Source organism: Homo sapiens, chromosome 1 (assembly GCF_000001405.40).
Source record: "Homo sapiens chromosome 1, GRCh38.p14 Primary Assembly".
Classification (NCBI taxonomy): Eukaryota; Metazoa; Chordata; class Mammalia; order Primates; family Hominidae; genus Homo; species Homo sapiens.
Genome location: NC_000001.11, coordinates 46,636,813 through 46,651,934, shown reverse-complemented (window position 1 = coordinate 46,651,934; position 15,122 = coordinate 46,636,813). Strand labels below are relative to the sequence as shown.

Genomic DNA, 15,122 nt, shown 5'->3' with positions numbered 1-15,122 from the left:
GCATTTTTTCTTGTGTTTTTTGGCTGCATAAATGTCTTCTTTTGAGAAGTGTCTGTTCATTTCCTTTGCCCACTTTTTGATGGGGTTGTTTGTTTTTTTCTTGTAAATTTGTTTGAGTTCATTGTAGATTCTGGATATTAGCCCTTTGTCAGATGAGTAGGTTGCAAAAATTTTCTCCCATTTTGTAGGTTGCCTGTTCACTCTGATGGTAGTTTCTTTTGCTGTGCAGAAGCTCTTTAGTTTAATGGCAATCATTAAAAAGTCAGGAAACAACAGGTGCTGGAGAGGATGTGGAGAAATAGGAACACTTTTACACTGTTGGTGGGACTGTAAACTAGTTCAACCATTGTGGAAGTCAGTGTGGCGATTCCTCAGGGATCTAGAACTAGAAATACCATTTGACCCAGCCATCCCATTACTGGGTGTATACCCAAAGGACTATAAATCATGCTGCTATAAAGACACATGCACACGTATGCTTATTGCAGCTTTATTCACAATAGCAAAGACTTGGAACCAACCCAAATGTCCAACAATGATAGACTGGATTAAGAAAATGTGGCACATATACACCATGGAATACTATGCAGCCATAAAAAATGATGAGTTCATGTCCTTTGTAGGGACATGGATGAAATTGGAAATCATCATTCTCAGTAAACTATGGCAAGAACAAAAAACCAAACACCGCATGTTCTCACTCATAGGTGGGAATCGAACAATGAGAACACATGGACACAGGAAGGAGAACATCACACTCTGGGGACTGTTGTGGGGTGGGGGGAGTGGGGAGGGATAGCACTGGGAGATATACCTAATGCTAGATGACGAGTTAGTGGGTGCAGCGCACTAGCATGGCACATGTATACATATGTAACTAACCTGCACATTGTGCACATGTACCCTAAAACTTAAAGTATAATAATAATAAATAAATAAATAAAAAGAAAATATACAATAAATTATTGTTAATTATAGTACTCCATAGTGCCGTAGAACACTAGAACATATTTCTCCCATCTAGCTGTACTTTTGTATCCCTTAACCAAACTTTGGCTATTCGTTCCTCTAGTAACCACTCTCCTACTCTCTCCTTCTATGAGATCAGGTTTTTTTTTTTTTTTAGCTTCCAACATGTGAGAACATGTGGTATTTGTCTCTCTGTGCGTGGCTTATTTCACTTAACATAATGTTCTCCAAGCTCATCCATGTTGTCACAAATGACAGAACTTGTTCTTTTTTGTGGCTAAATAGTATTCCATTGTGTATAGATACCACATTTTCTTTATCCATTCATTTGTTGATGGACACTTAGGTTGATTCCATATCTTCGCTATTGTGAATAGTGCTGTAGCAAACATGGGAGTGCAGATATCTCTTCAACATACTAATTTCCTTTCCTTTGGATATATATCCAGTAGTGGGACTGCTGGATCATGTGGTAGTTCTCTTTTTAGTTTTTTGAGGAAACTTCATAATGTTTTCCATAATGGCTATACTAATTTACGTTCCACCAATATTATACAAAAGTTCCTCTTTCTCCACATCTTCACCAGCATTTTTTTTTTTTTCATTTAGAGATGAGGTCTTACTGTGTTGCCCAGGATGGGCTTCAAATCCTGGCCTCAAATGACCCTCCCACCTCAGACTCCCGAAGTGCTGGGATTACAGGTTGTCTTTTTTTTTTTCGTAATAGCTGTTCAAACTGGGCTGAGATGCCTGTTTTATTGGCAGTTTTCTTCACAGTTTTGGCTATGCTATCCTGGTAATATGTGCCTAAAGGAATTAAGAGGTCGTAGCTGAAATACTGAGCTGCCAGAAGGCCTAAGGGAAAAGGAATAGGTGGGGTGGACCAGCTAACTTGGTATCAGTAATGATTTCTCGGGTTTTCAAAACATTTTTGGAAACATTGCTGAAAACAGAGAATACCTAAATAAATGGAAATGATATATACCATGTTCATGGATTGGATGGCTCAGTTTGTTACATTTTGTTTTGTTTTGTTTTTTGAGACAGGATCTTACAGTGTTGCCCAGGCTGGAGTGCAGTGGTGTGATCATAGCTTACTGCAGCCTCAATCTCTTCAGCTGAAGCAATACCCCCACCTCAGCCTTCTAAGTAGCTGGGATTACAAACATGCACCCCCATGCTCAGCTAATTTTTTGTATGTTTAGTAGAGACAAGATCTCACTTACGTTGCCCAGGCTGGTCTCAAATTCCTTGGTTCAAGCAATCCTCCTGCCTCAGCCTCCCAAAGTGCTGGGATTACAGGTGTGAGCCACTGTGCCTAGGCTTTGTTATTGTTAAGGTATCAGTTCTCTCCTAATTGGTCTCTAGATGAAATACAATACTAATCAAAACCCCACTAGGCATTTAAGAAATTGATGAGCTGGTTTTAAAATTTTACTTGGATATTTAAAGGACTGAGATAGCTAAAACAATTTTGAAAAAGAACAAAGCTTGAGGACTTACATTTCCTGATTTCAAGACTTATTACAAAGATACAGTAATTAAAACAGTATGGTATTGGCACAAAGATAGACATGTAGATTAATGGAACAGAGTAGAGTCCTGAAATAGACAAACATATATGTGGTTAGTTGTTTTTCAACAAAGGTGTCTATAAATTAGAGAAAGGATAATCTTTTCAACAAATGCTGCTAAAACAATTGAATATCATGCACAAAAAAAAGGAACCTCTACTTTTACCTCACAGTGTATACAAAAATTAAAGTAGATCATAAAAGTAAATGTAACTTTTTTTTTTTTTTTTTTTTGAGACGGAGCTTGCTTTGTCACCCAGGGTGCAATGTAGTATGATCTCAGCTCACTGCAACCTCCACCTCCTGGGTTTAAGCTATTCTCCTGCCTCAGCCTCCCAAGTAGCTGGGATTACAGGTGCCTGCCACCACACTGGGCTAATTTTTGTATTTTTAGCAGAGACCATTTTTTTTTTGAGTCAGAGTCTTGTACTGTTGCCCAGGCTGTAGTGCAGTGGCATGATCTCTGCTCACTGCAATCTCTGCCTCCCAGGTTCAAGCGATTCTTGAGCCTCAGCCTCGTGAGTAGCTGAAGTTACATGAGCCCACCACCACACCCAGCTAATTTTTATGTTTTTAGTAGAGACAGGGTTTCACCATGTTAGCCAGTCTAGTCTCAAAACTCCTGACCTCAAGTGATCCACTTGCCTCAGCCTCCCAAAGTGCTAAGATTACAGGCATGAGCCACCGCACCTGGCCCATAAATGTAACTTGTAAAGGAAAATAAAAGAAGAAATCTAAATTACCTTGGGTTTGGCAAAGATGTCATAAGTACATTACAAAAAGCACAAACTATAAAAGAAAAAAATCACCTTGGGCAATATAGTGAGACCTTGTCTCTATAAAAAAAATTTTTCAAGCACCTGTTGTCCCAGCTACTCAAGAGGCTGAGGTGGGAGGATCACTTGAGCCCTGGAGGTGGAGGTTATAGTGAGCCCAGACCGGACAACAGAGCGAGACCCTGTCTCAAAACAATAAAAATAGGGTGGGTGTGGTGGCTCACGCATGTAACCCCAGCACTTTGGGAGGCCAAGGTGGGTGGATCACTTGAGGTCCGAAGTTCAAGACCAGCCTGGCCAATATGGCGAAAACCCATCTCTACTAAAAATACAAAAATTAGCTAGGCGTGGTGGTGTGTGCCTGTAATCTCAGCTACTCCGGAAGCTGAGGCATGAGAATCGCTTGAACCTGGGAGGCAGGGACTGCAGTGAGCCGAGGTCACACCACAGCACTCCAGACTAGCTGACAGAGTGAGATTCTGTCTCAAAAAAATAATAATAAATAAATTAGATTTCATCAAAATTAAAACATTCTATTTGCATACCCAAATAGCTTCTACATTCATAGCAACATTAGTCACAATAGCCAAAAGGTGTATAGCTCAAGTTATATCAGAAATTCTTATAACTCAATAATAAAGAGGATAGACAAATGGACAAAGGATTTGAACATTTTATCAAAGAATAGCAGATAAGCACCTGAAAATATGCTTGACAGCATTAGTCATAATGGGAATCCAAATTACTACAGTGAGATACCATTAGAATGACTAAAATGTCAAAAACTGATCATACCAAGTATTGGTAAGAATGTGAAGCACCTGGAACTCTCCTATACTGCCGGTCATATTGCAAAATGGTACAACCACTTTAGAAAATAGTTCGGCTGTTTCTTTAAAAATTAAGCATATACCTGCCATACTAACTAGCCATTCCATTTCTAGATATTTTCCCAAGAGAACTCAAAGAATATGTCCATAGAATGACTTGTGCGCAAATATTCAAGCAGCTTTATTTGTAACAACCAATGCTGGAAACAATGCAAATGTCTGTCACTAGTGCACAGGAATTGTGGAAAGAGAGAATGTGCATGTGTGTGTGTGTGTGTGTGTATGTGTGTATACATACACAATGGAATAATATTCAGCAGTAAAAGGAATGAACTATTGATACATGCAACAACATGGTGTTCTGTGAAAGGGCCATATGTGCAAAACGACCCCCAAATGGTGAAGGAGCTGAAAAACCAAAGAAGGAGGCAGACAAATCCAATTTGTGGGTATGGGATGATTTATTGGGGGAACTTACAGACGGGAATGTCGTATTGGGTGGCTGCAATACAGGTAGATCTCCACACCACAACCAGACAGACCCAATATGTCTTATATCTTGGGGAAAGTATACATGCTCTGGAAGGAATGTGTAGGTGGATACAGTCATCACTGCCTATGATTTCTGCAACAACATCAAGGATTGTTTTGGAAGAATAGATGTTTCTACATAAAGAGTAATACATCAACTAGACATTTGGGAGGCATTCCTGGACTTGGGGTTAGTCAGAAGTCACACGGTGGACTAGCATTTAAAATAAAGTCACTCTTGTTCCTACACATGGATAGATCATGAAACAGTTATGCTGACTGAAAGTAACCAAACCAAAAAAGTACTCATTTTGTGGTTCCGTTTTTACAAAATTCTACAAAGGCACACTAACCTATAGTGGCAGAAAGCAAATCAGTGGTTGCTTAGGGACAGTAAGGGACAGGGAAGTATGAACTTCAAAGGGCAAAGAAAACTTGGAAGTGATAACCATGTTCATTTTGTTGATTTTGGTTATGGTTTCACAGTACACATATGTCACACTCATCAAATTGTATACTTTAAATATGTGCACTTTGTTGTATTTCAAGTATACCTCAATAAAGCTGTAAAAAAAATATTTTCCCTAGCAAGGGATCATCTGTCAAGTAGGCACTAAGTTTATCTCATCTAATAATAATAAATTGGAGCCTGAGTGGTTGACAATAAGAAGATAATTTGTGACTAATGTGTATTGGGCTGCTTTATACTTTTGTTTTGTTCTGGCACCATTCTTTTCTCTACTACTCATCCCCATTCTAAACATCTTGAGCATAAAACTTATTTTTTGGTGTTTAGTCTGGAGCCATGCTCCAATATCAGCCTTATCTGATAGAATGTGAAGTAATTACAGCAATTGGAACGAGCTAATTCAGCAGCATTAGAAAGTTTAGAAATTGAAACATCCATCAAGAGAAGGATAAATAGTGATAAACTTCTACAATAGAATTCCATACAACAGTGAGATATTTATGAATTCAGAGTTATAGATATCAACATGGATAAATCTCAGAAGCATACTATGAAGTAAAAAAGTTACAAAAGGATACACACACTTTGATAAGATTTAAGTTTTTAAACATATAAACTACTACTTTAAAAAAAATTTTTCTAAAGACAGGGTCTCACTATGTTGCCCAGGCTGGTCTCAAACTCCTGGGCTCAATCAGTCCTCCTGCCTCAGCCCCCGAGTAGCTAGGACAACAGGCACATGCCACCACACCTGGCTATTTTTTTTATTTTTTTGTAGTGACGGGGTCTCACTGTATTGTCCAGGTTGGCCTCAAACTCCTGAGCTCAAGTGATCCTCCGACCTTGGCCTTCCAAAGTGCTGGAATTACAGGTGTGAGCCACCATGCCCAGCCTGTAAACTACTACTTCTTAACTTACAGTTATACGCATATACATTAAAGTATTAAAATATGAAAAAGGAGGATAGACACCAAATGCTGGATAGATGTTAACTCTGGGATGGGATTAGAAGGGAATGCAGAGGGAACCTCAATTGTATTTCTGATGCTTTCTTAGGTGGATTGATAAGTACATGAGTATTTATTGCCACATATGAATTTCTTAATTTTAAAAAAATGTTTTAGGCTGGGAGCAGTGGCTCATGCCTATAATCCCATCACTTTGGGAGGCTGAGGGAGGCAGATTGCTTGAGCCCGGGAGTTCAAGACCAGCCTGGGCAACATGGCAAAACCCCATCTCTACCAAAAAAAAAAAAAAAGTAGCCAGGCTTAGTGGTGCACACCTGCAGTTCCAGCTACTTGGGAGGCTGAGTGGGAAGATCACCTGAGCCCAGCAGATCAAGACTGCGGTGAGCTGTGATCATGCCTGCACTGCAGCCTGGACAACAGAGCGAGAACCTGTCTCAAAAAAATAAAAAAATATTTTAAAAACCAAATATGGAGGAAATGGAATGAATGTTACAGGTGGTTGGATATAGAGCAAATAATTTCATTTATTCATCTGTCTCCTTGTATATCTGTTTTTCACAGTTTCTATGTGCTCTGCCAAGAAGGGAAGGTTATGAGTTTTTTGTAGGACAATGGACAGGTACTGAACTCCACTTCACTGCACTTATAAATATTCAGGTAGGTGGCTTGTGCCCTTCCTCTAGAGGAAAGAGGACTACCCCTTGGTAGGACTAGAAACCCTTGCTGAGGCTCAAGGACACAGAATAGCTGCTTACTCCCAGCATTTATTATTGTGGCGCAGATGAATTGTCATACTTTTTGTGTTGGACTAGTTTTCTAGGCCCTCCTCAATACCTAGAAATTGGAAAAGACTCCAAAACACCTTCTCTGACTACTTCTGGTTCTCTTTTGTCTCTTCCCCAGACCTCTAGTTGTATATACTGCATGTGCCTCACTTAACAAACATGCCTGAGTTATGATGGCTATCTTTTTAACCCAAGCTAGAAGCCCCTTGAGGAAAGCTCCAAGTCTTAAATGTGTTTTATTACCTAAGTCAACACCTTCCAACATGCTAAGTGAATAGTTTCTGTTTAATGTTATTTTGTTTGCTTTCTTCCTTTATTTCTTTATTTCCAATAAAACAATATTAACTTTTAAATATTATATTTAAAAGTTAGATTCAAAACATTTAAAACTTTTAAAATAAAAGTCAATATTTTAAATCATAACTAGGATTGGCATTCTATATTTGGAGGTCAAATGTGGCAAAAAACAAGCACGAATTATATTGGCTTTGAAGTTGGGGTAAAGAATGCAAAATAGAATGAAGGAACAGCTTTTTACTTTGCTATTTTGTAATATGTCTAACAACCCTTTATTGAGTACATACTTTAATAACCAACAATTTGATGTACTTACTATGTGCCACATGTTTTATATATATTATGTCATTTAATCCTCATAATACGCCATATTTACTGTTATTATTTCTAATTACATAGAAGAAAGTGGCCTCAGATGTTAGTTACATTGTCTAATAAGTGATAGAGCCAGGATTGAGCCCAGGTTATCTGACTTCAAAGTCTGTGAACTTAATCATTATGGGATTGTGTTAGGAACTGTGCTAAGACTTGGAGATCTGTGAGACAAGGTCCCTGCCTTCATGGAGCTAATATTCAGCTTTAGGAGAAAGATCCAGAAACATAATTACAATAAAAGTGATTAGTATAATATTAGAATGATGACCAAAATGATCAGTGTAACATTAGAAGTATGTTCAAGAAAAATGAGATGCTGAACTATTACAAGTACCCTAGTGATAGTTGGATATTTATAATTAAAAAGACTCGCTGAAATTTTAGAGATAAAGTCTAGGAATCTTCTTTTGAATGTAGTTGTTTCCACCTGTGCTATGTAGGGGCTTTAGCTTTGAACCCATCCTCTCTACCTAGTCTAGACTTGAGATTTAGTAACCACTGCCCTGATCATTCTTCATAAAATCATGGTGTTTCCATCCTTCTTCTCCCCTTCACCCCCCACCAACCCAGATTATATTTTAGAGCTGCACATTACAAATCTGGCTCATGTGCAAACTCTGCAGCTCCTGCTACAGCTTAAAAGAGCTCAGTCTTCAGAGCCAGCCAAGGGGAGTAGATTTCAACTGTGAAATGCACTAGTCCATGAAAGTGGCAATTACACAGGCACATTGCTTTCTTTAGAACTTGATTTGGTAGCTGCTTGTGCCATTTTGTTTTTAAATGTATGGTCACAATGATGGATTCACTGCCTACTGTAAACATTTTCTGGGAAAAAAGCCAAACCTTTTCCAGTTGAAGACACAAATAACACTGTGCAAACTGTCAGTTTCACTGTGCCTTTGCAGGCCTGACCTTACCACCACATACCAGTCCTCCAACTCACTAGCCACCCAAGGGGCTGTTAAGAGCCAGAATTTCCTCTAGACTGTCTATTGCTTTGAAATTGCAGTTTGTTGTGATGGTACCTTATTGAGCCTTGATAAGTGTTCCACCTTGCAGACCCGAGGGGAAGCTGCAGCCAGCCAGCTGATTTTATATCACTATCCTGAACTTAAGGAAGAAAAGGGCATAGTGCTGATGACTGCAGAAATGGATTCCACATTTCTGGTAAGAATTAACTTGCAAAACTCTTTGGATTTACCTCATGGCACTGAAGGTATTACTCTTCTGCCAAAGCTCATGAGAGAGAAAATTTCAAAGAGCTACATATACCTTGTTTCTTACTTATTTTAAAGTTGACAGTGAAGTTGTCTTGCTCAAGATCTTCCAATTTGAAGTTAGTACAGATCCTCAATCATTTATTCACAATTCTGAAACCCATGGGCTCTGAGAACAAAATGTTTTTGTTCTCATTTGGTCACAAAACCTTATGTAAACTTGAACTCATTTGGTAACTAAATCTTTAAACTGATGTGAAACTATTTATATAACTAATCCCACTTGGTGTGGAGTATTATGCATTTTACTAGGGAAATATTAATGTGTTTGAGTATGGGGAGTCACATAATATAGTTATATAGTATCTATACCTATTATCTTTCTAAAATTCAATAATTCTGAATCTAAGACACATCAGGCCCTAAGGGTTTCAGATAAGAGATTGTAGACAAGTAAATGGCTTCTTAATTATAGGGAAGAGTTGTATTGAAGCCTAGGATAGCTCTCAATATTTTATCTTCCTTCATACTGTTCATTTATACAACATTCATCATTTATAGTGTTTTTCTTTCCTCCTTTTCCCACTCCTAGATGAGAATCACTGAGATAGAGCATTGACCATATGCTCATAGTTAATGATGCCCACTGTGTTCTCTCTGCACATCCAGGTGCCAGGAGCAGTGTTGTGATTACTGTACACTGTCTGTCTAGTCCTTGCTCATTTCAGTCACATATCCTTTTATCTGGCAGAGGTTAAGTTCAGAATGTCCCCAAACAGTGGACACTTCCCCCTAACAGTCTTCATTACAGCACCCACTTATTTTTTCTCTTTCTCTTACCAGCTGCATAGGGAGAAAGAAGTGATATCACTCAGCTGATATCTCACAGTAGCAGTAACCCACAAACCTAGGACACAGTGAGGATTCTACTTCCCTATTCTTGAAGCTATTCAGTACCATCTCTCCCATTCTTCCTTCCACATTAACCCTTCCATTCATCACATTCAACTGAAAGCCAAAATTCTATCCAAGAATATGGAATTGCCATTAACTGAGATAGGCAAGATTGCAGGAGGAATAGGCCTAACAGGAAAATCAGGAGCTCACTTTTCGATGTATTAAATCTGAGATGCCTATTAGATATCCAAGTAGTAGGCAATTAGATATATGAGCCTGGACTTCATGGGAGAAGTCCAGGCTGGAGATATAAATATGGGAGTTGTCAGCATACAGATTGTACTTAAAACCATAGGACTGAATGAAGTCACCAAGGAAGTAAGTAAAAATAGAGAAGAGACGAGATCTAAGAACTGAGCGAGGGGTCTCCATCCCTGGAGAGATGAAGAAGCATCAGCAAAGATTAAGAAGGAATGGCCATGAGGTAAAAGGAAAATTAAGATGGTAGAATGCCCTGGAAGCTAAAATTGAATGTTTCAAGGAATAGGGACTGCTCAACTCACCAAATCTCCCTTGTTTATTAGGGCAAATGAGATTAGAACTGAGAATTTACTGATTTCACAAACATGGAAGTCACTGGGGGCCTTATAAGAGCAGTTTCATAAAAGTGTGATTGGAGTAGACTTAAGAGAGGATGGGAAGAGAAACTCCGAAGAATCAGCATAGAAACTCTTTCAAGGGGCATTTCTATAAAGGGAAGGAGAGAATGGGGTATTAGCTGGAGGTGGAGAAGTGCGCCCAAGGGTATCTTTTGTTTCAAATATGAGAAAGAAAACATATTTGTATGCTGATGGGAAAGGTCCAGTTGAGGCTGGGACAGTGGCTCATGCTTGTAATCCCAGCATTTTGGGAGGACAAGGTGGGTGGATTGCTTGAGCTCAGGAGTTTGAGACCAGCCTGGCCAATGTGATGAAACCCTGTGTCTACAAAAAATACAAAAATTAGCCAGGCGTGGTGGCATGCACCTTGTAATCTCAGCTGCTCGGAAGGCTGAGGTAGGAGGATCACTTAAGCCCCAGCAGCAAAGGTTGCAGTGAGCTGAGATTGCACCATTGCACTCCAGCCTGAGCGACAGACCCAGACTCTGTCTAAAAAAATAATAATAATAAAATAAAATAAATAAAGATCCAGTGGAGAGGGAAATGTTGATGATACAGGAGAAAGCGGGAAGTGATATTTTTGAGTGGGCAAGTCTGGTAATGAGGGGTTGATCTTTACCAGGAATATGACAGCAGGAGAGAAGCCAGAGTATAAGGACACTGATAAAATTAGATGGATAGAGGTAGTGGTATAAGTTTCCTACAGATTGCTCAGTGAAAAGAAAGAAAAGTTCTCATCAGCTGAAAGCAAGGTTGGAAAAATGTTGGACATTTGAGTCAAAAAGAGGAAGTACAAAATTGTTGTCTAGGACAAGCGTCAGCAAACTACAGCCTATGGGCCAAGTCCAGCCCACTGCTTGTTATAACGCCCACGAGTTAAGAATGTTTTCTACCTCTTTAAATGATTAGGGGGAAAAACTCTTTTTTTGTTTGTTTGTTTGTTTGTTTGTTTTTGAGACAGAGTCTCGCTGTGTTGGCCAGGCTGGAGTGCAGTGGCACAATCTCAGCTCACTGCAACATCCACCTCCCAGGCTCAAGCAGTTCTCCTGCCTCAGCCTCAAGCAGTTCTCCTGCCTCAGCCTCCTGAGTAGCTGAGATTACAGGCATGTGCCACCACACCTGGCTAATTTTTGTATTTTTAGTAGAGACGAGGTTTCACCATGTTGGCCAGGCTGGTCTCGAACTCCTGACCTCAGGTAATCGACCCACCTCGGCCTTCCAGAGTGCTGGGATTACAGGCATGAGCCACCACGCTGGGCCAAAAACTCTTTATTCTTAAAGAAATACAGAAATTATTTAATAACAAAAACTATTATTAAAGAAAAATAGTATTTCAAGTTTTATTAGAACACAGCCATATTCATTTATTTACATATTATCTATGGCCTGAAGGAAGTTAAAGGTGAATGCAAAGGAATGATTATTGACCATGGAATGGAAGCTGGGTAATGAGGAAAGTGAAAATATAAGGGAGGTTAGAGACAGTAAGAATTATGAGTCCTAATGGGTTGTGGGAGTTGGAAGTGAGCTGAAAAGATAGGAAATAATTTGATCATGCAAGTGAGTGACAATATAGAGATTGTACTATATTTTCTGGTCTTCGGCAAAGCACAGCATCTAATCATATTAAAAGTGGATCCTAAAGGTCAGAGGAGGCCCATTCTGCTGTTTGCCATTTTTACCACCTCACTCTGGTGGTCTCAAACTGCTGTGCAGTTCTCATCATTGTTAAAATTTGCTTCCTGGCCTTTTAACATTTGACAGCATACAAGACAATACATATTTGCCTTGTATAAATCAACTTGACTGTGAGGTTCCGATGTAGTGTAGAACTAGACATGTTAGAACTTGTTGTACATGACTTAGAGAAGAGAAACTTAGAAGTATAAGATGAATATATGATCCCCTGTATACTCATGCATGAATTGTGCACTTTAGGCATAGTATTTCCAACTATGGTAAAGCATTAATGTCAAATGAATAGAAATACATGGAAACTAGAGATTTCTTCTGAACTAACTTTAATGCTAAAAACTAATGGAATATTTAAAAACCTAGCTTTATTTGGCTCCACATCTATGTCAATAGATGATTTCATTGAAATGCAGTAAGTGCTAGGATAGACATGCAGAAGGTTCTAGGGATAGAGAGTGGGGTGATATCCCTGGCCCAAAGGGAGTAATATTTCCTGGAGATGACACCCAGACTGAACCTTCAAACAGCAGGAGTTAGCCTAATAAAGAAGGGGAGAAATGTTTCCGACAGAGGGAATAGCATAAGTAAATGCTGAGAGACATAAAATGACTTGGAGTATTGTAAAGAGTTTGGTATCACTTGTGTGTGTGTGTGTGTATGTGTGTATATGTAAGGTTTGGTGGTTTTTGTTTAGAGATTTGGCTTTACCCTGAGGGCATGAAAAGAGTCATTAAAGGGTTTGAACAGAGAAGAACCCATAAAGAGATGGATTTTAAGACCTAGCCTATTAATTATTAACTTTAATTATTTGCTTCCTAAACATTGTGTAGTTCAAGTCTAGTCAGTATGATAATTTAGAAGTCAGTTGCAATAGTCTGCACAAGAAGTGGTGAAAACTTGAACTACAGCAGTGGTATAGAGATGGAGGAAAGAGAATGACCCCAGGAATATGTAGGGAATAAAATAGTCAGGACTTGGTGCGTTGATTGTAGATTTGAAAATTGAAAGAGAGGGAGGAATCAAACTTGTTAAAATACCTCTTTATTGAGCAGCACAGGGAATTAGTATGTTTATCTTATTGGGTCTTGGAAAAGGAGGAGACTGTTGCTTCATGTTGAAAGCCAAGAGAATAAAAGGCAGGGGGAGAATAAGGGCTGGTGGGGGTTGCCTTTCTATAACCCTCCATGAGAGGTAGACATCTCTCTCTGTGTCTTACCTTCCTATCCTACTCACTGTACTAGTGGTCTTCAAAAACTTTTTTTTTTTTTTTTGGAGACAGTCTTGCTCTTTTCACCAAGGCTGGAGTGCAGTGGCTGGATCTCGGCTCACTGCAAGCTCTGCCTCCCGGGTTCACGCCATTCTCCTGCCTCAGCCTCCCGAGTAGCTGGGACTACAAGCGCCCACCACCACGCCCAGCTAATTTTGTTTTTGTATTTGTAGTAGAGACGGGGTTTCACCGTGTTAGCCAGGATGGTCTCGATCTCCTGACCTCATGATCCGCCCACCTCGGCCTCCCAAAGTGCTGGGATTATAGGCGTGAGCCACCACGCCTGGCCCAAACTTCTTTTTAAAGTAGTAGGAGGACCCCTTTATCCAAACAAAATCTTACTATGTAAAACCCCAGGATATGACAGCTAAAACAGGTGAAGGGACCTGAGGCACCTCCACAGAGCACCTAGGACTCTACAGAATAGTTTGAACAGCAGTGTTGTAGTGTGAACACAGCTGAACTTACTCCTACCTTCCCACCCCAAGCTTCAGATAAAAGTTGATGTCAGAGGCCCTGTAGCCAGGGGCTGAGAGAGTGGTGGTATCCTCAGATTATAGCAGTGCACTTGCTTCAGAAATGATTTGCTCTTGAGGCATGTGTGAATTTAAGAAAGGTAAAATGGATGAAGTAGTTATTGGCCTTCATCAATCTTAATTATCTTGCCCTACCAGAAACAGAAGGATGAATTGGGGGGAATACCAGCCAGGGAGTCTAGAGGTCTAGTCCTGGCTGTGACCTTGGCTGGCCACTTGACCTTGAGCCCATCCCTGAACCTCATCTGCCTTGGTTTCCTAGCCTATTAAATGAGAACTGGGTGATCTCTGAGGTCCCTTCTAGCTCTAAAATTCTATTAATTTGAAGTAGCCAGCTTTTTGGGAAAAGGTTTTTGATTGAAGATGCAGTCTCAGAGATTAGTGCCTGCTCATGAGAAATGTCCTGAAAGTCCCACAGAGGGAATAGAGATGGAGCACAGCCCATGTTATTTATAAACCCGTCTTCATCATTCTCTAGCTAGACATAGCACACTTTTGGCAGTAAGTTTTTAGTGGGAATTTTCCATGACCTTTTGGGGTTTAATTTTGGCTATATGAACATGGTGATAATGGACAAGTACCTCTGACCGACTAGAACTGCAGAATGTATAGCAAAAGTAAGAGTTGTCTGAGGTGACTCTTTTGCAAAGTTTGAGAGTGTAGCCCGTGTTCTAACCCCCATCTCTGTCATTTTTTAATTTTTATTTTTAGAGATAGAGTCTTCCTCTGTTACCCAGGCTGGAGTGTGCTGGCATGACCATAGCTCAGTGCAGCCTCAAACTCCTGGTCTCAAGCAATCCTCCTGTCTCAGCCTCCCGAGTAGCTAGGACTACAGGCTCATGCCACCACATCTGGCTAATTTCTCTGCCTCTGTCATGTAGGGTGGCCTGCTCACCATTTCTCTGCTATTGCTCACCATTTCTCTGCTACTGCCCTTCTCTTCCCTGGGCCTTTGCTGATGTATTAGTTATAAATGGCTGCATAACAAATTATACAAAATCTAGTGGCTTAAAACAACAAACATTTATTACCTCGCAGTTTCTGTAGTAGCAGCTTAGCTGAGTGGTTCTGGCTCAGGGTCTCACAAGGTTGCTGTCAAGATGTTATCTAGGGGTATAGTCATCCGAAGGTTGATTGGGCTTGAGCGTCTGCATCCAGCCCCACTCACATGGCTCTTGGCAGAGGCCTCATGTCTTTGTCGTGTTTCTCCATAGGGCTGCATGAATGTCCTCACTACATGGCAACTGACTTTTCCCAGAGCAAGAAAATTAGCAAGA

The 15,122-nt window shown here is 40.0% G+C and overlaps 1 protein-coding gene across 5 annotated transcripts in view; it reads left to right on the top strand.

Annotated features, from left to right (window-relative positions):
• ATPAF1 (ATP synthase mitochondrial F1 complex assembly factor 1) overlaps positions 1-15,122 on the top strand; it is a 35,821-nt gene that overhangs the window by 16,623 nt on the left and 4,076 nt on the right. For 4 of the 5 annotated variants that reach the window (NM_022745.6, NM_001394565.1, NM_001243728.1 and 1 more), the window contains 2 exons: positions 6,679-6,774; positions 8,634-8,741. The exons of the other annotated variant lie outside the window; for it this stretch is intronic. In NM_022745.6, coding sequence (NP_073582.3) covers positions 6,679-6,774; positions 8,634-8,741 — 204 coding nt within the window. The remainder of the gene's footprint in view (positions 1-6,678; positions 6,775-8,633; positions 8,742-15,122) is intronic. 5 annotated transcript variants of the gene reach the window in all.